This window comes from Homo sapiens, chromosome 17 (genome assembly GCF_000001405.40).
Source record: "Homo sapiens chromosome 17, GRCh38.p14 Primary Assembly".
Classification (NCBI taxonomy): domain Eukaryota; kingdom Metazoa; phylum Chordata; class Mammalia; order Primates; family Hominidae; genus Homo; species Homo sapiens.
This window is the reverse complement of record NC_000017.11, coordinates 31489508-31517486: the sequence shown is the minus strand read 5'-3', so window position 1 is coordinate 31517486 and position 27979 is coordinate 31489508. Positions and strand designations below refer to the sequence as shown.

At 50.8% G+C, this 27979-nt stretch overlaps 1 protein-coding gene across 5 annotated transcripts in view, besides 4 other annotated features; it reads right to left on the bottom strand.

The window, feature by feature from the left end:
* Positions 1–27979, bottom strand: part of RAB11FIP4 (RAB11 family interacting protein 4) — a 146537-nt gene that overhangs the window by 20725 nt on the left and 97833 nt on the right. The window lies entirely within an intron of this gene.
* Positions 7057–7847: an enhancer, noted in NCBI's record as "H3K27ac-H3K4me1 hESC enhancer chr17:29836658-29837448 (GRCh37/hg19 assembly coordinates)". NCBI's record gives its function as "activates a minimal SCP1, AML or CMV promoter by ChIP-STARR-seq in primed H9 embryonic stem cells {active_cell/tissue: H9 hESC(primed)}" and the evidence as "EXISTENCE:reporter gene assay evidence [ECO:0000049][PMID:30033119]".
* Positions 8129–8608: an enhancer, noted in NCBI's record as "active region_12013". NCBI's record gives its function as "activates an Ori minimal core promoter by ATAC-STARR-seq in GM12878 lymphoblastoid cells {active_cell/tissue: GM12878}" and the evidence as "EXISTENCE:reporter gene assay evidence [ECO:0000049][PMID:35858748]".
* Positions 16653–17612: an enhancer, noted in NCBI's record as "H3K27ac-H3K4me1 hESC enhancer chr17:29826893-29827852 (GRCh37/hg19 assembly coordinates)". NCBI's record gives its function as "activates a minimal SCP1, AML or CMV promoter by ChIP-STARR-seq in naive H9 embryonic stem cells {active_cell/tissue: H9 hESC(naive)}" and the evidence as "EXISTENCE:reporter gene assay evidence [ECO:0000049][PMID:30033119]".
* Positions 17613–18574: an enhancer, noted in NCBI's record as "H3K27ac-H3K4me1 hESC enhancer chr17:29825931-29826892 (GRCh37/hg19 assembly coordinates)". NCBI's record gives its function as "activates a minimal SCP1, AML or CMV promoter by ChIP-STARR-seq in naive H9 embryonic stem cells {active_cell/tissue: H9 hESC(naive)}" and the evidence as "EXISTENCE:reporter gene assay evidence [ECO:0000049][PMID:30033119]".

Sequence of the window (27979 nt, the reverse complement as noted above, 5' to 3'; positions counted from 1 at the left end):
CCAGGGACCTCTCATACTGGCTGACTCATGAGCATCTAGTGAGGAGCTAGAACTCCCAGGAACAGCCATCCACGAAGAAGGGCCACAGTCAGGCTAGCCACTTTATTCAGGGCACCCTGGTTGGCACATCAGAGCCCCCACTGAGGCAGAATAGGGTCTGGAGGCAGGGAACATAAGGCTGATTCACACTGACTTCCTAGAGCTAAATCAAAAGGAAAACCCCAATTTTCCGAGCCCAAGTAGCTACTCCCTTTGCATCCCCTTCCCCCCCGCCCCCCCCACCGCCCCCCCCCCCGCACCGCCTCCTCGCCCCCCAACCTTTTCTGCCTGGCAGATGAAAAACTGAGAGTATCTCTGATTGGTCCCCTCCTGCAACCAATCAGGCTGGTCACAGGCTAAGTTTTAATTTGCATAGGAATATCACTTTGTAACTTCACTTTAGTCTCTGATTGGTTGCTTTCTGATTGCTTTCTGCAACCAATCAGATGTTTGCATAGGGTGTAACTTTGTAACTTCACTTTGGCCTCTGATTGGTCCCCTCCTGCAACCAATCAAACTGACTGTGGGCCACTACTTCATTTACATAGGGTGTACACCAAGTAACCAATGGGAAACCTCTAGATGGTATTTAAACCCCAGAAAATTCTGCAACCAGGTTCTTGATCCCCTATGCTTGGGCCTGCTCCCATCCCGTGGAGTGTACTTTCGTTTTCAATAAATCTCTAGGCACGGTGGCTCACGCCTGTAATCCCAGCACTTGGGAGGCCAAGGCGGGCAGATCACGAGGTCAGGAGATCAAGATCACCCTGGCTAATACGGTGAAACCCCGTCTCTACTAAAAATACAAAAATTAGCTGGGCGAGGTGGCGCATGCCTGTAGTCCCAGCTACTCGGGAGGCTGAGGCAGGAGAATGGCGTGAACCTAGGAGGCGGAGCTTGCGGTGAGCCAAGATAGCGCCACTGCAGTTCGGCCTGGGTGACAGAGCAAGACTGAGTCTCAAAAAATAAAATAAAATAAATCTCTGTTTTTGTTGCTTCATTCTTTGTTTTGTTTGTGCATTTTGTCCAATTTTTGTTCAAGACGCTAAGAACCTGGACACCCTCCACTGGTAAAACCACCACAAAAGTCTGTCAGAGGAAGCCAAACGGCTTCTAGAAGGCTTCTTGGTGCACGGTGTAAGGGCACAGTCACACTGAACAGCTTTTAGGACCAACAACCCTGATCTAGTAGAGTCTGCTGCCACATGGTGCAGTGAAAGCTGCACAACTTGGGATCCACCCTACATGACCCTGTGCACATCATGGAACACCTCTGAACCTCAGTTGTCTTCTGTAAATCAGGAATGGCAATGGAATCTTACAGGATCACTGTGCTGATTAAATGAGGTATTTCACGTTCGCATCTGACACACAGTAGGACCTCAATGAATAAACCCTGGCCAGAAGATGTGATGCCCAGCCCAGGAGGCAACTGCCTGTCTGGGCCCTGCCACAGCCTTGCTGGGAGCAAGAATGCCAGGCCTCACTTCTGAGCGTTGCTTGTGCTGGGTCTGGGGCCCAGCATAATGACAGTGTGTGATAAAGACATGCTGGCACCTTTTGTTAAATCATCAGATAGAAGAGCTTCGGCCTGGTTCAGAGTTGGCCCTAGACCGAGGGGCAGCTCTCTGTAAATCACTTACTGGGGCCACTTCACCTCTGAGGAAGTAGGTACTTCTCAGGTGGCACCGCTTCTACCTGACCCATTGGAGATGTCAACCTGTTCCCAAGGTTCTTTGGTGTGCTCCTCAGCCAGGGCTGGCAGGGCACCCTATTAAAGGACCCTGCAGTCCCGAGACTACAAGAAGGGCAACAGAAACAGGCTGTGAAAAGCCTCCTGGAGTCTCAGACAGCTGAAGAAGCTGCTCAGCGACAGGCCTGGATGTGCCTGCCCAGACATGTGCAGCCGTCTGCTGCTACCAGTGAGCTGGCAGCCCTCCTGGGGGTCCGTCCCCACCAGGAGACCCCTGGGCTAAAAATAGATGGCAATATTATCATGAGCCTGGTTCCTGCCTGTGCTGTGATAGGCTGAGCACCAGATGGACCAATAACACGTACACCAGCGAGCCGGGCACGCCAACAGCAGAGACTGTGGAGACTGAGGTTGTGTAATGAGAATCCCCCCAGGGTTCCCAGGGCCCCTTCCACCCACATGTCATTAATCTGGTCACATGGCTCCCAACCTATCACATCTTGTGCCCTAAGCAAGCTCTTCATCCCCAAGCCTGAAGCTGCATCCCAGTAGAAACAAAAGGAAACCAGCATCACTGAGCAGCCATTAGGTTCCAGAGACCGAGCTGGGCATTCACATATTATCCCACCTGTGCTTCATGACAGCTCTTCAGGGCAGTGATCATTATCCCCATTTTACTGATGGGGAAACAGAGGCTCAAAGAGTAGCGCATCAGAAGTCCTCCAGCCAGAGGGCAGGGCAGGGCAGGGCAGGGCCCCCCACCCCGCCTGCCTTTGCATCCACACACTTGATTCCATTTATCCTTGACACCTCCCACACTTTGTGGATTTTCAAACCTCATGGTGACAACAAGGAGAGCACATTTTATAGGGACATGTGACTAATTATGACTCCTTAGCATGCCGCCTAACGCAGCAACTTCCACGTCCATCCACTTAACGCCCTCACAGGACACTGCAGGTTAGTGCGGGGACACCTAAGAGAAACAAGGCAGGAGGGAGACCAGAAGAGACCTGGGGCTCTCAGAGGACAATGCGCCTGGTCTGTTCTTTCACCTGGCCAGGAAGAACTGCAAACTTTTCACCTTCCTGGCCACACGGGTAGCGAGAGTTCCCCCTTGCTGGGAATGCCCGCCCTGTGGCTCATGTGAGAGCTCAGCAACTTGGCAATGGTGTTTCTTCTGGACTTCACCGCAGCCCGATGAGCTGAGCCTCTTTTCCCCTTTCTGTAGGTGAAGGGTCTTGCCTGGGGCCATGTGGGAGTTTACAGCCGGGTCCGGACATGATTCTGTTTCCCCAACACCCACCTTCCCCCTACAGCCACATCCTGGGGAGGCTATGGCCCACCAGCTCCCAGAGGCAGGCAGAGGGCCCAGTGCAGATCAGCGTCCTTGCTCCTCAGGTGTCTGACGTGGCCTCTGGCCACTGACACGAGGACACAGAGGCCGAGTGTGTGCCGGGCACTGCCCCACTAACACCTGGCTCATGACATGCAGGTGGAACCACCGGGCCCTCTCACCCAACATCTACAGCAGCGTCCTGATACTCCCAGCAGCTGGCCCAAGCCCCTGACCGGGTGGAGAGAGCAGCCTCAAATGGCTTGGCTCAGGCACAGGCAGGGCAGAAGCAGGGGCACCAGGTTCCCACCCTCCAAAGAAGACCACCACCTCCTCGGGCAGGCTTTCAGCCTTGGACTAAGCAGAGTCCACATCTGCCCAGCCCTTCAGCAAGCTCCTCGCCTGTCTCACACACCCCATCCCTCACAACAGCCCCGTGCGAGCTGCCTGGGGTAGACAGGGCAGAGATCTGGGATTCATCAGCTCCGTCTGACACCTGGGGAAGATGAGGCTCAGAGTGGGAGAGTGGCTGCCCTGGAACCTTGCAGTTCACAGAGGGCCTGCAGGGACCTGACACCCGGCTGACACACCAAGTCCTCACCTGCCTGGCCACACATGCGCACACACTCTCTCCAGCTTTTTCTCTTAAAAATGGCTATTCCCAACATTAATACTTTTTCATTCAACCCACAGTTGTTTGTCCAAGGCAATCGGAAATTTTAATTATAACTTTAAAACCATTTCTAGTAGTTTGCCCCCTAAATTCAAATATAATAAAGACAGTTTACTGCACGCCTTGGTTAGCCCAGGACAGTACTGGTTTATGCCTGTCCCAAGATCCCCTTGGTTTGGTATTTGCCATGGTCACCCTTGCTCCTCCCTGAGGGCCAAAGTCCCCAGCCCCAGCTCTTGTTTCCCCGGCCCTCTGGGGAAGGGTCTGGTGGAAGCCCTTGCTCCTTCTCCCGCCGGCCTGGAGGGGAGATGCTGGAAGGTGCCAGAACGCAGCCTCTTCTCTCTCCTTGAGCCACCATTCATGGGCTGGGAGAACTCGGAGTCAAGCATACTAGGACTCTTCTTGGCCAATTTCCCTTTTGTATGTTTTTTAGATAAAGTTGCAGAGGAAAAGGAAGAACTTGGCCATAATAAAAACATTGCCCTCATAAGGTTTCCAGATGGCCTGGGGGTCACAGACTTCTGGAGGCGGTGGGTTCCTCTCCGGCCAGGCTGCCTGCAGGTAAGAATCACGCGGAGCCCCCTGTTGAGCATACTTCCAAGTAGACTGGGGGTCATGGGAGAGGATACCATCACCCCACCTCACCGCACTATGCTCGTCAGGATGCCCAGAGAGCTGCCCGCTCACCCCAGCTGCACGGTCTACATCCTCACCACAGAGGCGCCCACCCAAGCCTGGCTCTGGAGGGCTGGCAGGAGTGGTGGGGCAGGGACAGGGCCTCCCCAGAGCTCATGTTTCTAGGTGGCCGGGGTCAGCAAGTAAGGTCTGTGCCCAGGGCAGCTTCCAAGACTGCCTCTCAGAGCCCCGGTTTCCTGCCCATTCCCGCCTGCTGTGTGAAAAAGGAGTCCACACACGGCCGTCCAGTCACCACCCAGGGACCCTACACATGTCCAGGCCTGGAGCTTGGCCTGGTGTTCCCAGGGTTTGCACAGAAAGGCTGTGTCTGCTCTTTTGGGGGCCTTTGGGGAAGGGACAGTGTGGTATCCTCAGGAGGCAGCACCGGGCATCGTCTCTGGCACAGTCTGACTTGCCAGGGCTCTGTCCCTCAAGACCCAGAGCCAGCCCTGAGCTCACAGCTCCCTGTACCCTGGGACACAGGGCCAGCCACCATAGGCCCACAGGCTTGGCTGGTACATGGCCACACCACCCCAGGCTTTCTTCCACCTGCCAGCGGACCCCGGGGTGAAGGGAGAGAGCGGATGCAGCAGCGTGTTCCTCCAGAAGCCCCAGGAGGCCCCTGGGGGTGGGCTTGGGTGAGGGCTCAGCTCTGGGGCCTAGCAGTCTGGGTTTCCGGCCCTGCTGGCCCAGCCACTTACAAGCCATGTGACCTTGGACAAGTGACCACCTTTGTGAGCACCTGGCTCCTCACCTACAGAATGGGGCCAGTCAACTCCACCTCAGTGGCAGCTCTAGGGGGCCACACGTGACAATTTACACCGGAGAGTCGGTCACGGTAGGAGCCGTAAATTCTGACCTGGCCTCACGAGGGGCTACAGGCAACAGAGGGTGAGCTATTCCTACAGCCATGGGTCCCCGGCTGGTCAGCCAGCAATGTCCTGGACAGACGAGCAGCCAGGAGGGACGCCCACCCTCCTCAGAGAAGCCAAGCTGAGGAATTACCTGAGGCCAGGGCATTCTGGAGAGAGCTGGAGAACAGGATCCAGCCAGCCACTCTGGCAGGGCAGGTCTGCATCCCCTGCACCCCTACCTCGCTGTCCCACTGTCCCACCCTGTCCCCAGCAGGGAGTGGGAACCTAGAGGCACACAGCCTGCCGTGGGGCCCTCTCCAGTCTTGAGAGCCGTGTTCGCCTGCCAGCAGGCCCCAAGTCACCCCTTCTTTTGTAGGAAGTTGGCAAGGGATGAATTCAGGGCTGCTGAAAAGGCCAAGTATCAATACACGTGGGGGCCGTCCCAGCCTCAGAGTGGCCAACAATGCCACACTGTCCACACTCTCAGAGCGGATGCAGCATCTGGTCCTCTCCCTCCCCACCTCCCCCATGGGGAGCCACCTCACAGGCACACGCCAGCACCCTGCGTTTCCCTGAGCTGACACACAGAGTACATGGACCCCAAGTGACCACATGTCCACCTTCCCTGTGAGAGCAAGGACCCTAAGTGGGTAGCTATGGGGATTTACATGTCAGAACCCCAGTGGTTAGCACTGTAGAGAGCACATGGCAGGTGGTGGAACCATACTGTACTGCAGTATGATGAGCTGGGAACAGCACAGCCACAGGACCCTGAGACCTGGGTGCCGACTCTGGTGTGGTCACTGCCTGACTGTCTGATGCTGGATCAGCTGTTTAATTTCTGGGCCTGATGTAAACACGGGGAGGGAACCACCTGCCTGGCAGGCTGCCACAGGGAACTAGGACAATGCCTTGTGTCATGAGGGCGCGGAACACACGGCAAAAGGAGGCGCGGGGTGGCGTTAAGGACAAGCTCTGGAGTAGACGGCCAGGCCAGAGCCCTGCTCCACCATTCACCATTCATGAGCTCTGCAGCTTCAGGGTTACTGAACTGCTCAGTGCCTTAGTTTCCCCATCTATAAAATGGAGTTAACTGTGATTAGGATTAAATGAGCTGCTACACATCCTAAGCACTTTATGGTCTTAGCACACACAGAAAGTGCTCAGAAAACAAAACAAAACAAAACAAAAACACAAAAACAACAACAAAAACAAAAAAACCCTTGGAATGCAGTGGCGCAATCACAGCTCACTGCAGCTTCAAACTCCCAGGACTCAAGTGATCCTCCCAGCTCAGCCTCCCAAGCAGCTAGGACTACAGGTACACACCACCACACCCCAAAACTGAACTACTATTGTCGTCATTGTGTTGAAGGAAAACAATCCAGGGTACCTCCTGGCCTCCTGGCTCCCATCCAGCCCCTGGGACCTCTCCCTCTACCCACCGTGGCTCACTGGGCTGCAGCTCGGCTGGGTTTTTTTGGCTGCAGGAAGCCAGACCTGCAGGTTCCAGAGCCTGCCCTCCAAACATCAGTGCCTCTTTCTCCCCACCAGGGTCCTCTCCTGCCCACTCTTATGGAAGGTCGCCCTGCACACGAGTCACACCCTTTAGTAAGCATTAAGATGAGATGCTGCCTGGGGAAGGGAGTCCAAGAAGCTCCGAGGTTCCAGCTCATCCACCCCCAGCCCTGGCAACGGCCTCATTCCCCAGGCACTAACTCAGAGCCAAAGAACAGCTCTGTGGGGACAAGGCAGGGTAAAAATAGCTTGGGCGGGCACATGCCCACTTCCCTTGCAGCAAGGCACCAGCAGGCACACGTGCAGCGCTGCCGCTGGGAAGGTGTGCATGTGTGCGGTGGGGGTGGACACACACTAAGCCTAGTGTAGGGGAGTCCAGCGGTTGCCAGGGCTAGGCCTGTGATGAATCTCTCACCCCACTCCCAGCCAACCAACAGCTCTGGAACGAGATGGGCCAGGTCAAGGTCTCACGGGGTCCTTCCTATGGGCAGCAGGAAATTCAGCTTACTGAGCTAACTCATAGGTGCCAATGTCCCCAGGTCCACAGGGAAGGGATGTGATTGCTAGGGCTGGGGTCTTCCACACCCCACTGTGGCTTGGCTGCTCTCATCATGAAAAGGTGGTGGCCGCAGAGACTGGTACGCAATCTTGGCTGTAACGGACTCCTGCTGCAGCTGCCAACCCTGGCTCTGGGTCAGGCCTTGCTCTGCAGATGCAAGGCTGGGTACTTATCAGTTGCTGATAAGAGGTTTTGGTTCAACAGAGAGTTGCCCAGGCACCAGCCAAGGCAAGGGTGGGATAAAGGGGGTTCAAGCATCCACCCAGAGGCAGTGCCTCGGCCTTGCCTTCTGAACAACAAGCAACCTCAGCTCAGACATGAGGCCTCGGCTCACCCCAACAGAGCCAGGGGTAAGCATGGGAGCACCAGGTCGCCAGGTCACGAGGGATCATCCCACACCTCAGCCAGCCCCGGGGACTGACCACATACTGTGAGATCAAAGCTCTGCAGCCCAGAGCTTCCCGCTCTGATCAGGAAGAAATGCTGCACTGCTACGTTCCATCCCCAGAGTGGCTCAGAGGCCCCGGGGTGTCAGGGAGGGACCCAGTGCCCCATTCCTCCAGCTAAACTCCCTCCCAGGGGATGGCAGCCAAGGCAGGGCAGCTTCCAGACTCTCTTCTCCCAGCCGGGGGCCCCGGATCCACCTCCTGAAACTCACCCCAGAAAGGGTGTGGCCAGGAGCTCAAGACCACCCCTCAGCAGGGCCCACTGCTCCCGCCCTGCAGCTTCTAGGAGTGGATCTTGTGTAGACACCTGGTTGCTGCGCTCCACTTCCATCCTAAGGTGGGCCTGCAGACCCCAGGAGCGGGGGCAACCGGGACAACTGGGGTTCCCCAGGTGCTCATTCATTTCACATGAGAAGCAAGCAGGCTTCTTGCATCACCCCCAGAGGGAGGTAATAAATCACCCTATTTTACAGATTTTTTGTAGAGACAGGGTTTCACCACGTTTCCTGTGCTGGTTTCAAACTCCTGGGCTTGAAGATGTGGAGACTGAGGCTCTTGGGCAGATTTGGTTCAGTTCTGGATCTGGCACACACTGGCTGTGGAACCTCAGGTTGGTGCTGAACAGAAAAGAAAGCGAAAGCCATGCTTGTGTTTCTCCAGAACTCATGACATTTACATAAAGCAAAGGCGGTCACTCAACAAGTTCTGCTGCTGCACAAACATCACCGAGGAAGGGCTGCTGAAGCCCACACTGCCTTTCTTTCAGTGTTTTCATCACAACTCTTGAGCTGTCTCTCTCTCCGATCTCACAACCTCACCCCAACACACACACTGCTGATAAGGCAGCGTCAGAGGAGCCCACAGAGAGGAAGCGGGGTGTGTGCTGAGGCTCCCAGAAAGACTCAGAAATGAGAGATGTCAGATAACCTCCTGGGAGCTCAACTAAGAGAGATGCACACATTTCCTGAGGCTGACAGAGGGACTGAAGTACTAAGGGATCTAAAGACAGAGCCTGTCCTCAGGGAGGGGCTAAGCGAGTGGTCTCCTGGGAAGCACCAAGAGGGAGGGTCTGAGGCCGACCCGGGCCGCGTGCACCCAGGCACTGGCCAGAGGTGTCAGGTCTGGCTGGCCAGCACATCCAGCCTGCCCCAAAGGCGGTGGGGCCTGGCTCAACATTCCACACCTGTCCAGCCCTTGGCCCCTGTGTCCAAGTTCACGTAGCACCCACTCCCAGAAGCCTGCTGACAGACAGGAGAGAAGGGCTGCCCAAGCTCATGTGAGTGCATTTCTCACCACAAGGGGATCCACTGGCTCTGCAGGTCCATTTAGGGACAATCAGTGAGCATGAGTGGACTCAAGTTGTGGGGTGTGGGAAAAGCCAGTAAGATCTGGTTTTCAAGCCCATTAGGATGCAGACCAGACCCTGGACCATGGTGTGATCCCACTGGAAACATCCCGAACAGCTGAGCCATCCACTGTGGGGAGACGCTCTCACTCCTCTCTCCCCACTGTGCCACTTCCGTTCCAATAACAAGTGAGCATGTCAAAGGTTGGGAGTTAAAAACGGGCCGGGCACAGTGGCTCACACCTGTAATCCCAGCACTTTGGGAGGCTGAAGTGGCTGGATCACTTGAGCCCAGGAGTTTGAAACTAGCATAGGAAACATGGTGAAACCCTATCTCTACAAAAAATACAAAAAGTTAGCCAGGTGTGGTGGCGCATGCCTGTTGTCCCAACTACTTGAGAGGCTGAGGATAGAGAATCACCTGAGCCCAGGAAGTCGAGGCTGTGATGGTGCCACTGCACTCCAGCCTGGGCAACGGGAGTGAGACCCTGTCTAAAAATAAATTAGTTAAAATAAAATAAAATAAAATAAAACAAAACATATTACTAAAAATCTAAGCCAGGCATGGCAGTGCATGGCTGTATCCCCAACTATTTGGGAGGCTGAGGCAGGAGGACTGCTTGAACCTAGGAGTTCAAGGCCTACCTGGGCAACATGGTGAGACCCTATATCTTAAAATAATAGTAATAATAATAATAGATGAGAGAAATGAAGGAATAAAAAAATGCTTGAATCATCCAAAAGGACAGATGACTGATAGCCAGAATACATAAGGAACTCAAACAACTCAATAGCAAAAAAACAAATAATTCAATTTAAAAATGGGCAAAAGATCTGAATAGGTGTTTCTCCAAAGACAACACACAAATGGCCAAGAGGTATATGAAAAAATGTTCAACATCACTAATCATCAGGGAAACACAAATCAAAACCACAATGAGATACCACCTCACCCTAATAAGAATGGCTATCATCAAAGAGACAGAAAATAACAAATGCTGGCAAGGATGTGGAGAAAAGGGAACTCTTATACACTGTTAATGGGACTGTAACCTTTTTTTTCTTTTTTTGAGATGGAGTCTCACCCTGTCGCCCAGGCTGGAGTGCAATAGCACGATCTTGGCTCACTGCAACCTCCACCTCCCGGAATCAAGCGATTCTCCTGCCTCAGCCTCCCGAGTAGCTGGGATTACAGGCACATGCCACCACGCCTGGCTAATTTTTTGTATCTTTAGTAGAGAAAGGGTTTCACCATATTGGCCAGACTGGTCTCAAACTCCTGACCTCATGATCCGCCCACCTCGGCCTCCCACAGTGCTGGGATTACAGCTGTGAGCCACTGTGCCCGGTTGGGACTGTAAGTATTAATAGAACAATCATTATGGACAACGGTATGGAGGTTCCTCAAAGAATTTAAAACTATCATATGATCCAACAATTCATCTACTAGGTATACAAACAAAAGAAAAGAAATCAGTATGTCAAAGAGAGATCTGCATTCCCACATTTATTGAAGCACAATTCACAATAGCCAAAATATGGAGTCAACTAAGTATCCATTAACAGATGAATGCATTTTTAAAATGGGGTGTATATATACACAATGGAATAGTATTCAGCCATAAAAAAGAATAAAATCCTGTCATTTGTGACATGGATGAACCTACAGAACATTGTGTTAAGTGAAATAAGCCAAGTAGAGAAGGACAAACAGCATGATCTCACTCCTATGTAGAATCTAAAGAAGTTATCCCATAGAAGTAGAAAGTAGAATGGTGGTTACCAGAGGCTGGAGAGGGTAGGAGAAGGGAGGACGGGGAAAGGTTGGTCAACAGGCACGAAGCTATAGTCAGATGGGAGGACTAAGTCCTGGTGTTCTATTGCACAGTAAGGTTACTACAATTAACAACAATGTGTATTTAAAAATAGCTAGAAGATAGCATTTTGAATGTTCTCACCACAAAGAAATGACAAGTGTTTGAAGTGATGGTTTTGCTAATGACCCTGATTTGATCATTCCACAATACACATGTGTATCAAAACATCAGACTGTACTCTCTAAATATGTACAATTGTATGTCAATTAAAAACTTAAAGATTATGTAGGATTAAAACTCTACCACATCAGTAATACTTTTAAAGAAAACTGAGTAAATAATCCTATTAAAAGATCAATATTGTCAGAGTAAATTAAAAACAACTACATACCACTTACAAGAAACACAATTGAAATTTAACAAGATGTAACACTTTTATATCTATGCATCTAACAGTCTCAAAACATAAAGCAAAACTTAACAGAATGGGAAGTGGGAGCTGTTAATTCACCTCTCTCAGAAACTGATGGAACATGCTGAACGTGGCTCACACCTGTAATGCCAGCACTTTGGGAGGCCAAGGCAGGTGGCCAGGAGCTCCAGGCCAGCCTGGGAAACATAATGAGACTCCATCTCTACAAAAAAAAAAAAAAAGTAAAAAAGAATAGCCAGGTGGTGCATGCCTGTAATCTCAGCTACTCGGGAGGCTGAGGCCAAAGGATTGCTTGAGGCCACGAGTTCGAGGATACAGTGAGCTATGATTGCACCTGGGTGACAGAGCTCAAGATTCTGTCTTTAATAATAGTAATAATAATATTATTAATATATTATATATAATTATTATATATTATAATAATTATGTATTATATAATTATTATATATTATATATAATTATTATTATATAATTATATATTATATATAATTATTATTATATAATATATAATTATTATTATATATTATTATATATTATAATTATTATTATATATAATATATAATAATTATATATAATATATAATTATTATATATAATATAATAATTATATATTATATATTATAATTATTATTATATGTTATAATAATTATTATATATTATATAATAATTATATATTAATATATAATAATTATTATATATTATTATTATTACTGATGGAATAAGCAAACAAGAGAATTAGAGAGGACACAGAAGACCAGAACAACACAAACTCCAGACTGATACATACAGAACACTACACTCAACAACTGCAGAATAACACCAGTAGATTAAAGGCTAATGAAAAACTAGATACTTGCACAATACCGAAGAATCACCCTACAGATTGCTGCAAAACACCAAAGCACCCCACATACCTCTACCAGGGAGAACACAGACTACTGTCCCTTTAATGCAGAGATCAAATTTAGCATCACTAATTGGAAAGAACCAGGCGCTGGCCTCCCAACGCGATGCCTAAGAGGTACACAGCATCACCTATAGTGTGGGCTTAACTAAGTATTTAACTCAATTCAAATCAAGCCTTAGGATCTAACTTCTACCAAACGGAAAAATGGGATAGAAGTTACACATCACCACAGGGAAGATGCATTTCTAAAGGTTGAGGCAGGCTGGAAGAAAACGCATTTCTAACAAGTTCTCGGGTGATGCGGATGCCACTTGTCCCAGGACCACACTTTGCAAACCACTGTTCTAGATTAACTGAGAGACATAGAAACCGAATATTATCCTTGATTAGATCCCAGATCAAACAAACAAACCACCACCAGCTGTAAAAGACCTTTTGAGGATAAACAAGGAGGATGGAATCTGGAGTAGATATTGGGTGATATTAGGGAATTATGCTTAATTTTGTCAGGTGTGTTAATGGCATATAGTTGTGAAGGAAAATGTCCTTAGTTTTGATAATATTTAGTCTAATTTCTTTTCAAATGGCTCATTTGAAAAGAAACTTGGTTCATTTGAAAGTTACAGGACAGGCACGGTGGCTCACGCCTGTAATCCCAGCACTTTGGGAGACCGAGGCGAGCGCTTATCATGAGGTCAGGAGTTCAAGACCATCCTGGCCAACATGGCGAAACCCTGTCTCTACCAAAAATACAAAAAAATTAGCCGGGCGTGGTGGCGGGCACCTGTAATCCCAGCACTTTGAGAGGCCGAGGCAAGCGGATCATGAGGTCAGGAGTTCAAGACCATCCTGGCTAACACAGTGAAACCCCATCTCTACTAAAAATACAAAAAAATTAGCCGGGCGTGGTGGTGGGTGCCTGTAGTTCCAGCTACTCGGGAGGCTGTGGCAGGGGAATGGCGTGAACCCAGGAGGCAGAGCTTGCAGTGAGCCGAGGTCGCGCCACTGCACTCCAGCCTGGGTGACAGAGCGAGACAATGTCTCAAAAAAAAAAAAAAAAGAAGTAGTAGTAAACATTATATGGAAACATGAAAAAATAGCCTGCCCCAAATTTGCTGAACTAGTGAAGGAAAAGTGTTATTGCCTGTCTTTTGGATAAAAGGTATTTTAACTAGGATGGGATGATATCTCATTATAGTTTTCATTTGCATTTCTCTGATGATCAATGATGTTGAGCACCTTTCATATGCCTGTTTTCCATTTATATAAATTACATATAACAGAAATGTCTATTCGGATCTTTTGCTGATTTTTTGATCGGTTTATTCGCTTTTTCCTGACAGGTCTGGCTCTACTTAAAAGAATATGAAAAAGTGAAGCCATCCTGAAAGAATACTATCCTAGCGGGTAGAGTCCACAGAAACTGGAGCCCGAACAGACCAACATGAGCTTCAAGGATGAAATGAGAACAGAACGACGAGCAGTCTTGGTTTCAAATGATCAGATCAAGCGGCAATGGATGGCTGAGGTCATAAGAATGATCCGGCCTCTAAAAGACCATTCACAGTCATAACAGTCCTAGAAATGTTTCCAAATAGAGCAGGTGGTCAAGAGCCATCCCCAGGGGGTCCCTCACCCATGGGCCTTTGCCTGAAAGCAGAACTGCCTCCCCTCTACTCTGCCAGGCTTTGCCCACCCTCCTCTTCCTCTTCCCCCTTCCCTTGAAGGAGGTTCCCAAGACCCTTTTCTGCTATGGGCTGAATCCTGTTCCCTCTAAAATTCATATATTGAAGTCCTAATCCCTAGTACTTCAGAATGTGACTGTATTTGTAGATAGTCTTTAAAGAGGTAATTCAGGCCGGGCTGAACTGCAGGCTCACACCTACAATCCCAGCACTTTGGGAGGTCGAGGTGGGTGGATCACTTGAGGTCAGGAGTTCGAGACTAGCCTGGCCAACATGTTGAAATCCAGTCTCTACTAAAAATACAAAAATTAGCCAGGCGTGGTGGCACATGCCTGTAGTCCCAGCTACTCGGGAGGCTGAGGCAGGAGAATCACTTGAACCTGGGAGGTGGAGGTTGCAGTGAGCCGAGATAGTGCCACTGCACTCCAGCCTGGGCAACAGAGCAAGACTCTGTCTTAAAACAAACAACAAAATAATAATAATAATAATAAAGAGGTAATTCATTTAAATTGAAGTCCTAATGGGTGGGCCCTAACGCAATGTGACTGGTGTCCTTATAAGAGGAGATTAGGACACACGCAAAGGAAAGACCATGTGACGACACAGGGAGAAGATGGCTGTCTGCAAGCCAAGGAGAGAGGACTCAGAAGAAACCAAGCCTGCTGACACCTTGATGCTAGACTTCAGCCTCCAGAATTGTGATAAAACACACTTTGGTTGTTTACGCCACGCAGTCTGTGGTCCTTTGCTATGACAGCCGTAGCAGACCAATAGACCAATATACCAATATCCCTTCTCCTCCCCTAGGAAGGCTTCATGGAAACCCCAACCCAAGCTCAGTCTGGATTTTTCGCCCACCTTCTCACCCTGATAACAAAAGAGAACTTTTTAAAGGTCAATTCAATTCAACCTTTATTTTTTTATTTTTTGAGATACAGTCTTGCTCTGTCACCCAGGCTGGAGTACAGTGGCACAATCTCAGCTCACTGCAACCTCTGTCTCTTGGGTTCAAGCAATTCTCCTGCCTCAGCCTCCCAAGTAGCTGGGATTACAGGTGCCCACCAGCACGCCCAGCTAATTTTTGTATTTTTAGTAGAGATGGGGTTTCACCATATTGGCCAGGCTGGTCTTGAACTCCTGACCTCAAGTGATCTACCTACCTCAGCTTCCCAAAGTGCTAGGATTACAGGTGTGAGCCACCTCGCCCAGCCAATTCAACCTTTAAAGAGAACTACAGATGGTCCTCAACTTACAATGGTTTGACTTACAATTTTTTTTTTTTTTGAGACAAGGTATCGCTCTGTCAACCAGGCCAGAGTGCGATGGCACCATCTCAGCTCACTGCAACACCCCCCTCCTGGGTTCAAGTGATTCTCCTGCCTCAGCCTCCCAAATAGCTGGGATTACAGGTGCCCACCACCACGCCTGGCTAATTTTTGTATTTTCAGTACAGATGGGGTTTTGGCATGTTGTCCAGGCTAGTCTCAAACTCCTGGCCTCAAGTGATGCAGCCAGCCACCTTGGCCTCCCAACGTGCTGGGATTACAGGCCACCGTGAGCCACTATGCCCGGGCTCACTTTGATTTTTCAACTGTATGATGGTGCAAAGTGATCCACAGTCAGTAGAAGTCATACTTCAAGTACCCATAAGAGCATTGTCTTTCACTTTCAGCATAGTACTTAATAAATTGCGTGGGATGGGCTGGGTGCGGTGGATTACACCCAGCACTTTGGGAGGCCGAGGCGGGCGGATCACGAGGTCAGGAGATTGAGACCATGGTGAAACCCCATCTCTACTAAAAATACAAAAAATTAGCTGGGCGTGGTGGCGGGCGCCTGTAGTCCCAGCTACTTGGGAGGCTGAGGCAGGAGAATGGCGTGAACCCGGAAGGCGGAGCTTGCAGTGAGCCGAGATCGCGCCACTGCACTCCATCCTGGGCAACAGAGCCAGACTCCATCTCAAAGAAAAACCAAACCAAACCAAATCAAACAAAACAACAACAACAAAAAATAAATTGCGTGGGACATAAAACACTTTATTGTAAAACAAGCTCTGTGTTAGATGATTTTGCCCAACTGTAGGCTAAAGTAAGTGTTTGGGCACATTTAAGGTAGCCTAGGCTAAGCTATGGTGTTTGGTAGGTGAGATGTATTAAACGCATTTTTTTCTTTTTTTTTTTTTAACTTATGATACTTCCAATATACAATGGGTTTATCAGGACGTAACCCCATCAAGGAGCATCTGTAACTGGATTTCCAGAACCTACTCAAGAGACTCAGGGATTTATTTTTGGTCTGTCCTAAAAAAAAAAAAAAGTTGTATTCTCTTATTCTCTTTCACGATTAGTTTGAAATACTGCTACTTCTTAAGAGATGATATTTTGTTGAAATCAAAGCTTGGTGAATCTATGATTATCAGGATGGCATTCTATAAACACTATATGCCAATCTAAGTAAGTTATTTCCATTTTCTTTTTTTTTTTTTTGAGATGGAGTCTCACTCTGTCACCAGGCTGGAGTGCAGTGGCACGATCTCGGCTCATTGCAACCTCTGCCTCCCGAGTTCAAGCGACTCTCCTGCCTCAGCCTCCTGAGTAGCTGGGACTACAGGCGCGTGCCATCACACCCAGCTAATTTTTGTATTTTTAGTAGAGACGGGGTTTCACCATGTTGGCCAGGATGGTCTCGATCTCTTGACCTCGTGATCTGCCCGCCTCAGCCTCCCAAAGTGCTGGGATTACAGGCATGAGCCACCATGCCCAGCCACTTCCATTTTCTTGTGCATTCTCTCAGTAGTATAAGTATTCTATTTCAATTTCAGAGAAGCATATGCACAGTTCAGAGACGTTAGAATTGCAAAGGCAATTTTTGTTTGCCCAAAACTGTATTTAGTATAGTTATAAGACAAATGTAAAAGGTATTTTACCTACACAGCGATTGCTTTACAAGAGAATAAATCAGCAGTTAGCCCTGGAGCCACAGGCCCTCACACAAGGAGCCTTTTATCCTGGGTCAGGCTGCCTCTGTGACCAGCAGCGCTCAGTAACTGAACAAGATATTACCAGTTTCTCCGTGCCAGACAGTATTTCTGGCTACCTGACATCTGGAGCATTTTCCTCCCTCTGTTGTGGTCAGTGTGGGAAGGAGGGCCGCTACTGCCCCCGGGACACGTGGGCACCCTGCTCAGAGGGACGCCAGCTGGCCTGTGACATGGCCCAAACCCGAGCCCCACCCCCGCCACTCCACAGCGGTCTAGAGCTGGTTTGTAACCAAGGTGCAGCTGAATTTAGCTCAGTGAATCATCTCCAAGGAAAACCCACAGAGAAAGTGAACTCACCTTTTAACCAAGTCCTGGATGGGGTGTGACTGTCCCAAGAATGCCCTGGGTCCCAGATCTGAGTGCCCCAGTAAGCCCATTTCCTAAACAAAAAGGGTTTGAAGAGGCTATCTAGCCTACCCTCTGCCCTGCAAACAGAGCCAACGGCCTTGATTTTCAAATGAGAATGTGGACTTCGGAGGCAAACTGTTGGGGATTAAGAAAACAGAACTTAAATTGCTTCCACATCTGGAAAACAAACCCAGCAGCCAGCCCCAAGAATTCCAGGCATGCCAGCTCAAAGAGAAGCTGCAGGTCAGGGGAGGCTTTTCCTCTTAGCTTTCAGTCCCCCATCACCTACCTGAAGCCACAAAGATCTCCTGTCTACAAATAGCTAGTGGAGCCACAACTCAGAGAAAGAGAACAAAGTTGACATACTAGGGCGCCTACCATGTGGCCAGTCTGCTCTGTGCTTTACAGAGGTGGTAAACTCCCTGCAAGTAATTATCATTTTCCTCCTTATAGATGGGGAAATGTGGCCAGGTGCGGTGGCTCATGCCTGTAATCCCAGCACTTTGGGAGGCCGAGACGGGCGGATCACGAGGTCAGGAGATTGAGACCATCCTGGTCAACATGGTGAAACCCCATCTCTACTAAAAAATACAAAAATTAGCTGGACACGGTGGCACGTGCCTGTAATCCCAGCTACTCGGGAGGCGGAGGCAGGAGAATCGCTTGAACCAGGGAGTAGGAGGTTGCAGTGAGCTGAGACTGTGCCACTGTACTCCAGCCTGGCGACAGAGTGAAACTCTATCTAAAAAAAAAGAAGAAAGAAAGGAAGAAGGAAAAGAAAAAGTGGGGGAATGGTGTCCAGAGAGTCTCATCCACTTTCCCCTGAAGTATCCTGCAGTTTTTCTCTTTACTCCCCTTTGGAGTCACACAAAAAGTTGGGGCCATGCAAACCCAAATCAGGAGTTCCCTAATTTAAATCGTCCCATCTAAATTCTCAGAAAAGATTTCCCAAATGCCTACCGGAAGCTCCAGTTCCCATGCAGCCACTGCATCTCTGGTTCCCCCAAGAAAAGCATGGACCAGAGGTCCCAGCAACTCAACTCAAAAGCGAAGTAACGTGCTGCAGTTGAATGGGGTGCGTATAAAGGGCTCTCCTGGTTCTTGGAACGGGCAGCTATTTTTTGCTACAAATTATAGCTTTTCAAGATGTGGCTTTTTGAAGAGAGGGCTTAATTACTCACACAACCAAGAGTCTGTGGGGCTTGCTTTGGGGGCTCCATACTTTACCATCATGATAAGAGGAGCGATGATAAAAACACTTCACTCAAAGTGAAGGTTTGGGAGGGAAAACAGTGGCTCAGGCCAGCTCTTTCTTCTCGTAGAGTCCACCGGGTAGGTCAGGCTACATTTTCAGGGGAGCACCCTCCAAAGAGGTGACATGGAACTTTCCAGAGAGAGGCCACTATCCAACTCAAGGAGAGCATGCCTGGATGGAGCTGACCCACGGTCCAAAGCCAGGGTGGGTTCCCACCCAGCTCCTCCTCTGCCACAGAACCCTCAGGCCTTGAACAGCCAGCAGAGCACCGATGTTTACCCACAGCCAATGGCCAAGGCTCCACGTGACCCGCCCTTCTGGAGCAGGCAGGTCAGGGTCAGCAGGGTGACTCTCCTCCTCCCAACCCTGCAGGGCCTCCTGCCAGAGCCCTTGGTTTTTATAACCCTCTCCTCCTCCCTGCCCCATCTTCTGGTACCTCCCATCAGCACATAGCCCCCATGGTCTTCCCAGCAAGCTCAGTTCAGGTGTCTCTCTTTGTCCTGTGGCCTTTGCTAGACCCAGCTACCCAAGCTTCGTGTTCCAGAAGCTGCTGTCTTGCATGGGGGGTTGGGGGGTGTCACTCAAGCATAGCTGGCCAGAGCTCAGCTTAGGGCCTCCGGCCAGGGCAGGCTTTCTCGCAGTGGGGACAGGTGAGAGGGCATTAGGGGCTCATGGGGTGGAGACTCTCCCTCCCAGGGAGTCCATTGGGAACCCCCTCTAAGAGCTTGTGAGCTCCCCACTGCCCACAGAACCAGGCCCAGCTCCTGAGAGCAGCTCGCAAAGCCCCTTCCAGCAGGTCTCAGCCTCAGGACATGCTCTGCCTCTCCCCTTCCCTAGTACCCCAGGCTCCTGGGCACCTTTACCCACCCCAATGCCTCAGCACATGCTGCTTCTTATGCACAGGGGGCATAAGCACCACCTCATCAAAGAGGGGGCTTCGAATCTCTGACACTACACACAAAACTGAGGAGGTTGGGCTACTGGCTTTCATTGGAATCTCAAGAGGGAGGGGGCAGAGAGAAGATCTCCAAGGAAAACAAGGTTTAAAACCATCACCTGCTCTTAAAGCCTCCCTCTAGCCAGCAGCGCACACTCAGCCCCTGCTTGGGGGCCACTGTCACCCAGACATCCCCATGTGGCTGTCTCCTGGTGCCTCCCCAACTCAGCCCCGACTTCCATGAACAGCCCACACCTAACCCTCTGTACTGCTCCAGCCAGACCCTGTGCAGCCTTGTCATGTGCACCCCTGTAGGTGCCGACTGGGTGCCCACCCCACCACTCTTCCTCCTCTCTCTCCGTCCTGCCTCACCCCACTGCAGCCCAGCCATCCTGAAGGACGGGGCCCCTGACACATCCTGCTCACACAGGCCCCTGTGCCTTTGCCACTGCCCCCTGCCCAGAACTCCTCCGTCTGTCTCAGGAGCAGTGCCACTGGCTGGCACTCCCCGAGATCCTTAACACCTAAACAAGCACAAAGCAGTTTTTTTTTTGTTTTGTTTTTGAGATGGAGTATCGCTCTGTCGCCCAGGCTGGAGTGCAGTGGCATGATCTCGGCTCACTGCAGGCTCTGCCTTCCGGGTTCCAGCGATTCTCCTGCCTCAGCCTCCTAGGTAGCTGGGATTACAGGCGCCTGCCACCACGCCGGGCTGATTTTTGTATTTTCAGTAGAGATGGGGTTTCACCATGTTGGTCAGGCTGGTCTCGAACTCTTGACCTCAGGTGATCCGCCCGCGTTGGCCTCCCAAAGTGCTGGGATTACAGGCATGAACCATCGTGCCTGTCCACAAAGGGGTCTTAAACATTTGAGAACAAGGAAAGCACGCATCTGCTAAGCACCTATTGTGTGCCAGGTATTTCTGTGCATCAGCCACTATTTAGATGAGAATACACAGGTTCAAGGAGGTTAAGTAATTCGTGAAAGGTCGCAGGGCTGGGATTTGAACCAGGTCTGATTTTAACGCAGCAAGGAGGGTACAGAGAATACCAAATGCTCTCAGCGATGCGACATCCAGCACCCCATGGACAACACTGTGCACTGGAGTGGACTCAGGCTGACCCTGCAGCCACAGGAATGGCAGTTAGCAACGCTGATGGTACCAGAACTTGGACTTGAGCTGAAGCTTGCAGGGACCACAGCACACTGGGCTTCTGAGGTCTGTGCCATCCAGGCCATCAGGCAGAGCCCTCCTCCCCTTTCCCACCCCAGGGAGCTTCAAAGAGGCTACATGTGGGAAGACTTTACAGAAAGGGAGAGGAGAGATTTGAAAGAAAATTGCTAAAAGGAAACACATGTGAAAATGAAAACTCAGGCAAAGGGGGAGAAGGACGAGGGAAGAAGAGTAATGTCCAAGGATTATAAACTGAGTCAAGAAGCCCTTGGAACACCAGTTTCCCTCTGCTCCCTTGGGAAGGCCAGTGACCCACTCCCAGCCCTCATTTTCCCTCTTAACCCAGATGGAACGGGGCAGACCTTAGATGATACCCAGCAAGAGAAACAGGGAATGTTGCCTTGCACACAGCCATGACAACTGTGGAGCCACGATTCATATGTGGTGGGAGGAAAATCCCGAGGCTCAGAGAGGTCGCTCTACTTTGCCAAGGCCACACAGCTGGCGAGCCATAAAGCTGGAATCTAAGCCCAATCCAAGGTTGTCCCCTTGAACCACATCAGGGTCCCCTCATATAATCTGCCACCACTACAAGGTGGCTCCACCTGCATCCTTGGAGGAACTGGACAAATTATATAAGTTCCCCAGAGGTTACCTAGTTTCTATTTCATTAAATCTGAGACACCTCTGATTTTACAATGCACCGTTATTTCAAGTATGCCAAGAAAAAGGCGCTGTCAAATTATAATAATCCGCAAATGTGCGACACATTCCAATTTAAGATGTTAAATGGAAAAAAAGGAAAGGAAAAAAAGAATGTGCCTTAGAATCCCAGAAAATACCATGTAAGTGTGAGTAGGGAACAGGGATTCAGTCACAGTTCCGCAGACTGTGTGTGTGCAGTGAAGGGCAGTCAACAACTCCACACAAGCACATGAGCACACACCTGCTGCTATAAAATCCTTCTTTGCTAATAACTGATGCAATCGTGCAGATAATCATACAAAAATGTGTTGGCCAGACCTGCCTTGTCAACAAGAACCCTCATTTCACCAGGAGACCATCAATTCAAGGTTGCCTAACATCAGTCAGACGAGTCAAGCATGGTGGCTCATGCCTGTAATTCCAGCACTTTGGGAGGCCAAGGTGGAAGGATTGCTTGCGCCTAGAAGTTTGAGACCAGCATGGGTGACATAGTGAGACCTCATCTCTACCAAATGAATAAATAGCCGGGAGTGGTGGTGCACCCAGCTACTCAGGCAGCTGAGGTGGGAGGATCACTTGAGCCCAGGAGGTCGAGGCTACAGTGAGCCAAGATTGTATCGCTGCACTCTAGCCTGGGCAGAAATGCGAAACCCTGTCTCAAAAAAAAAAAAAAAAAAAAAAAAAATCAGTCAAGTGGAGGCTGTCCTGCCCACCTAACCAGCCAGGCTAGGCCAGGCTAGCCAGCTTCGCCTGAGTGGAGCTATAGACCTCTGGGCAGCCAAGCTGGATGACTCTGTGGTTAACTACCAAGGGCAGTCACCCAGTGTGGCTGGGCGGTGGCACAGCCTGCACCTTTTTGTCTGGCTTTTCTCCAAATCTCCTGGGGCTTGTGGCCAGCCAGAGCCTCAGCATTTTAATAAGGCAGATGCTGGGGGCTGGCAGTGGCAGATGGGCAGCACTGCTCCAAGCCAGCTTTTCCAGCTAGGCACAGGTGGATGGACAGGCAGGCCCTGGCTGGAGGTGAAGGGCAGGTGGGCCGAGGTGTGGAGGGCCATCCTCCCCTTGGCAGGCCAGCCACAGCCTGGCAGTGTGAGCAGCCTCTGGAAGGACAGGCTAGGTACAGTCTCCCTCACTGAACCTGGGGAGAAGTCTGTTACCTCGGAAGCTGCTTGACATCTCATTCACAGACTGCCACACAAATGCTAGTCACTTCACCCCAGACCCAGAATCTGTATCTGCAGAGCCCGAGCAAGGTTTGTTAAAAACACAGAAGCTGGCTGGGTGCAGAGGCTCATGCCTGTAATCCCAGCACTTTGGGGGGCCGCGGTGGGAGGATCACCTGAGGGCAGGAATTCGAGATCAGCCTGGGTAACATAGTAACACCTCATTTCTACTTTTTTTTTAAAAAAATTAAAATTAAAATTGAAAAAAAAGATTTAAAAACCCACAGAAGCTGAGGAAGTAGAGTTTTGCTTCTCTTGCAAAGGCCCTTGAGTAATGGAGTTTTTCCGCTGCCACCTTCCTGTTTGGGCCATGACACTCCCCGGCAAGACATTCTGTTAGGTGCGAAGGTTATTAGTCACAACAATCAAACCAGCTGAAGCCTGCAGGAACTAAGAATAACAGCTCACCCCAAAGCACAGTTTTAAGTGCTTTTCATACATTTACATATTTGAGCCTTACCACGAACCCTGTGAGGGAGGTACTAGCCTCATCCTCTTACCACGAACCCTGTGAGGGAGGTACTAGCCTCATCCTCGTTTTACAGGTGGGGAAGCTGAGGCACAGAGAAATTAAATAACTTGTCTAAGATTCCACCAATAGCAAGGGGCAGAGCCAGGATCTGAACCCAGAGACAGCCTGACTCTGAAGGCATTTTGGTACTAAACTGGCCTGCCTCTCTAACCATCTAACCGTCCACGAGTGTCAACTAAGTAAAGGCCAGAACCTAGACTGGGCATCTTAAATCACCATGGCTCATTTTATTTTCACCATCACCCTGCGAGGCAGGTGCTATTATCAACCCCATTCTACCTGTTGGGCACCCCAACCCTCAGCCACCCCAAAGCAGGGGGGTGGATGAACAGGATGCCCCATCTGAATGCTGCCTGACACGCAAACACACACGTGTGTGCACACACACATATACGATCTGGGGCCCTAAACTGGACAGACTAAACCCAAAGCTGCTGCCCAAATGTGGGAGTGACTCCCTGGGGTCCTTAGGACCCCACAGAACCATGCTGCTGCCTGCCCACAGGCAGAGGGAGTGAAGAGTGAGGCCAGGGAAAGTGAAATCAGAAGGGTGAGGTCGCCTGTCCAAAGTTCCACAACTAGCGAGCAACAGAGCCAGGATCTAGACCTAGAAGTTTTCTGGCGCCCATTTTTTCTCCTTAAGGAAACAGGCATTGGGTGACAAAGCGTGGGATGCAGGTGTCTGTGTCTTAGGTAGGCATTTCTTCCAGGAAAACGAGGGAGCAGGGGGCAGGGACTTGCTGCTATTCTCGCTCCTATTCTAGGAGGGAGACTTGAGTCTGGTGCAGAGGGTAGACACCCCTCAGCTCCCTTACCCCAAGTTCACCGGAGCAGCAGCAGCTATTTGAAATGTGGGTTCCCTTTCCATGGTATCAGGCTTGCACAGCGCAGGGGGGTGGGGGGTGACCACAGATGACTAAAGAGAGAGAGCCCGCCCACTCTCCCACACTCCAGTTCTGTTTAGGCCTTCCTCTTTCTGGTACCTCAAAAGAGAAAGGCTCCCATGAGCAGAGCCACAGATATTAATAACTTCTACAGAGCTTTGTTTTCATCTGAATTAATGTTTACATTGTTGGGAAAGAACCCACTTGTCTGGGAAGATGAAGCAGGTTAGATCAATTAAAAATGTGACCAACAGTTGGAAAACTTCCCATTTCTTAAGGTCAGTCAAGAAGTGGGTTTGGAAGTGCTGGCATGACTAGCACTGGCCTGCTGGGCGGTTCTGGGCTGGAGGTCACTCAGACCCCACAGCTCTGGGCCATCACAGCCACCCCTCTGACCTTCATACGACCCTTGTAGGCTGCACGTCCTTCTGGTTGCCTATGTTCTCCTCCCCGTCTCATCTCCTTTCCAGGTCATGCGAAAAAGTGAAGAAGTAACCACCAAGGTTGTCTGGGTGCTCAGGGGGGTTCTGAGAATCTGAGCTCTTGTCATCAATGCTCTTGAGGGGGGCTCAGCTCCTGAAGCACCAAGACGCTCGGGACCCCTCTGAGCAAGGCCAGCTGGGCGCCCCCAGCATCCACTCAGCCTTGAATGGGGTCCACAGAAGCTGGCCAATGACAAATTCCATTCAATTAACAGTATTATGATGAAGCTGCAAACACTTGGGGAAGGACTGCCATGTGTAGTCAGACACTTGGCATGAGATAATGAGAAAATAGCTCCAAATGAAAACAGATAAGGGTGCAGTCCAGGCTTCTGGGGGCACCTTCTCTGCAGCCTGCCACCCAGTGTGGGCTCCAGATCATGGTGCTTGGAACCGTGGTCAGGCCCAAAGCTACAAATCCTCCCAGGATAACATGTGCTGGCCAGGAGAGGTAGCCAAGACACCCTGCTGAAGCCCCACCCACCAAAAACTCAGAGGGCACCCCAACCTTCAGCCACCCCATAGCAGGGGGGTGGATGAACAGGATGCCCCATCCGAATGCCGCATGACACGCAAACACACGTGTGTGTACACACATATATATGATCTGGGGCCCTAACCTGGACAGACTAAACCCAAAGTTGCTGCTCAAATGTGGGAGTGACTCCCTGGGGTCCTTAGGACCCCATAGAACTGTGCTGCTGCCTGCCACAGGCAGAGGGAGTGAAGAGGGAGGCCAGGGAACCCTTGAGGATCAGACAAGAGATGAGGAGACAGCCTGGGTGACACAGGCCAGAGTACGGAAAACACGGGCAGGCTGCTGGCTGCTTTATGAGCCTTGAGAGCAGGACCTGTCCCTACCCGACAGGAGCTGACCCGTGGGAACAGCAGGCAGGCCCAGGCAGCTGTCAGAGACACAGCTGTATGCACATCGCCGGCGTGCCCTTTGCTGGTTTGATTCGTGTGGTGGCAACAGCATAGTCTGGCAGGAAATGTTTCCACGTTCACATGGACAGGCTCGTCTGACCCAACTCAAGCTGAGGGCAGGGAAGTCTGTGGCAGCAGTGGCCACAGAAGCCTGTCCTCCAGAAATGCCTCAATGCCCAAATCCCCTCGACGCGGAGGCTCTGAGAAGGGCAGAGCAATGGAAGGCAGCTCGTGCCTGTGGATTTCTAGTCTCACTTGTACTGTCAGTCCCCTCTCCTCCTCCTCCTGGGATTCTGGGTTGTCACAGCATTGGGTGGTCCCCCATCTCTCTGAGCTTGTCCCCTGTCCCCCCAGCCCTGGCTTGCTCTCCAATCACATCCTGTCTTGTAGTTCTGTGGACAGACATAGCATGCCAGCCACCGTCCCACCTCAGGGCCCTTGCAGTTCCTCTTTTCTCTGCCTGAACCTCTTTCGTTTGGATGTCACCTTCTCAGTGAGGACTTCCCTGTCTGACTCTGAAACCCAGCACTCCCTCCCCTTCCCTGCTCTTCCTCCTGCCAACTCCCATACTCCGTGTTTTACTGCTCTACCTGCCTCACTACCATCCTGCGAGCTCCTTGAAGGCAGGGGTTCTCGTCTGTTTTGTTCACTGCTGTATCTCCAGTGCCCAGCACAGAATCTGGCACAAAGTAGGCAACGAAGAATCTGGTGAATGAATTCAGTACCACTTGCCCTGTACTGGGAAATGTGCTGGGGGCTGAGCAAACAGAAATGGGGAAGCCTCCGTGTCCTGAAACGCCTCCTGGTGAGGGAGACTGTGGTACCATTCAGGGGCAAAGATCGTACGACATCCAGTAAGGCACCAGGTGGGACTGCCAAATAGGCAGGCCTGTCTTGTGGTGCCTAATTGGTATGGATGGGACCACCCAATAATCCAGCCATGAGACCTGAGATGAAGTAACTGGGCATTGATCTTCGAGGCCAGTGTTTGAAGCCATAGGTGCCCAGTTCCTGAGTCAAGAGCCAGCAGAGCTGACCCAGAGGAAGACAGAGTCCAGCCCCAGGGGTTCTGTATGCCTGGCAAGGCCAGGGCACTGTGCCCCACTGCTAACACCAGACAGCAGGCACGAACAGATAAAGATGCTTCAGCTGGGTGTGGTGGCTCATGCCTGTAGTCCCAGCGCTTTGGGAAGGTGAGGCAGGCAGAACCCTTGAGCCCAGGAGTTTAAGACCAGCCTGGACAACATGGCAAAACCCCATCTCTACAAAAACAAAAACAAAAATTAGCCAGATGCAGGGTGGCACACACCTGTAGTCCCAGCTGAGACTGAGGTGGGAAGATTGCTTGAGCCTGGGAGGGTGGGAGGCTGCAGTGAGCCCTGATCACACCACTTGACTCCAGCTTGGGCCATAGAGCAAGACCCTGTCTCAACTCAATTAAAAAAAAAAAAGATGCTTCCTTTTCAAACACAATGAGCCCTGTGCCAGGAAACAGCATGCCCTTTCTCATTCGGAGATGCCTGCCTTCTGGGAACTGCTCACCTGCTATTTCATTGGGAGCCTCTCCTACCCCCTTCACCCCCTCCTTACCCATACCTAAAACATATAAAGTGAAATTGCGAAGTCTCCTCAGAACAGAATCAGTTGTGAAAAACCTCAGCATAACGGGCTGCCCAGATCGGGGACTGCCAGATACCTACGGGTACAGATGAAGGAGGGAGTTGCAAGGGCCCCAGGTGAACGGCCAAAGAGAAAACCTTGGGTCTGAAGCAGCCTGCCTACCAGGAGGGGAAGGGGCTAGGAAGGCACTAGCATGCTTTAGAAGTGGCACAGATGGTCGGGAGGGAGAGTGAGGGCCGGTGGAGTATCTCAAGCTGCAGCCCAGAGCCTTCCGAGTGCAGGCTGCCCCTGGAACCCCAAAGGAGGTGGCTTAGAACCCAATGGGCCCTCTAATTTCTTCTGCTTTTCCTCCCCCACTTGCCTAAAAGTCCCTTCCGAGGGCAGGCTCCAGGCAGTCTCTCCTACAGACCTCCCTTAGGGCAAAGGTCATGCCTTCCAGCTGGCTCACCTGGCCTGGCTAGTCCCGCCCCTCGCCTCCGGCCCAGTCTTATCTCTTCTACTGGCCTTAGTCATTTACTCCACCCCCTTCGCCTAAGTCCAGGCCCCCCCTTCAAATTCCGAAGCTGTTCTCCACTACGCATTTGCCCAAGGGGTGCTGCCTTCTGCAGTGAAGAACCCTAGCGGCTTCCCTCACCCCGCCAGGCGACACTCTCCCCTGTGAAGTGACAGGGACCTCAAAGACAACTGCAGGCAACTTGCAATCAACTTAGAAGAGCTGGGCAGGCCCAGAGCAGACCCAGTATTCAGACTGCCTGAGCTTGCAAACACCTTGAAGGCAGGGAAGTGTCCCGTGTGTAATGTTCCCTGGGAACATAATCAACAGTCCCCGAAAGCCAGAAAGCAGGGTAAGGTTTGGGCCAGTGCCAGGGTGCCAGC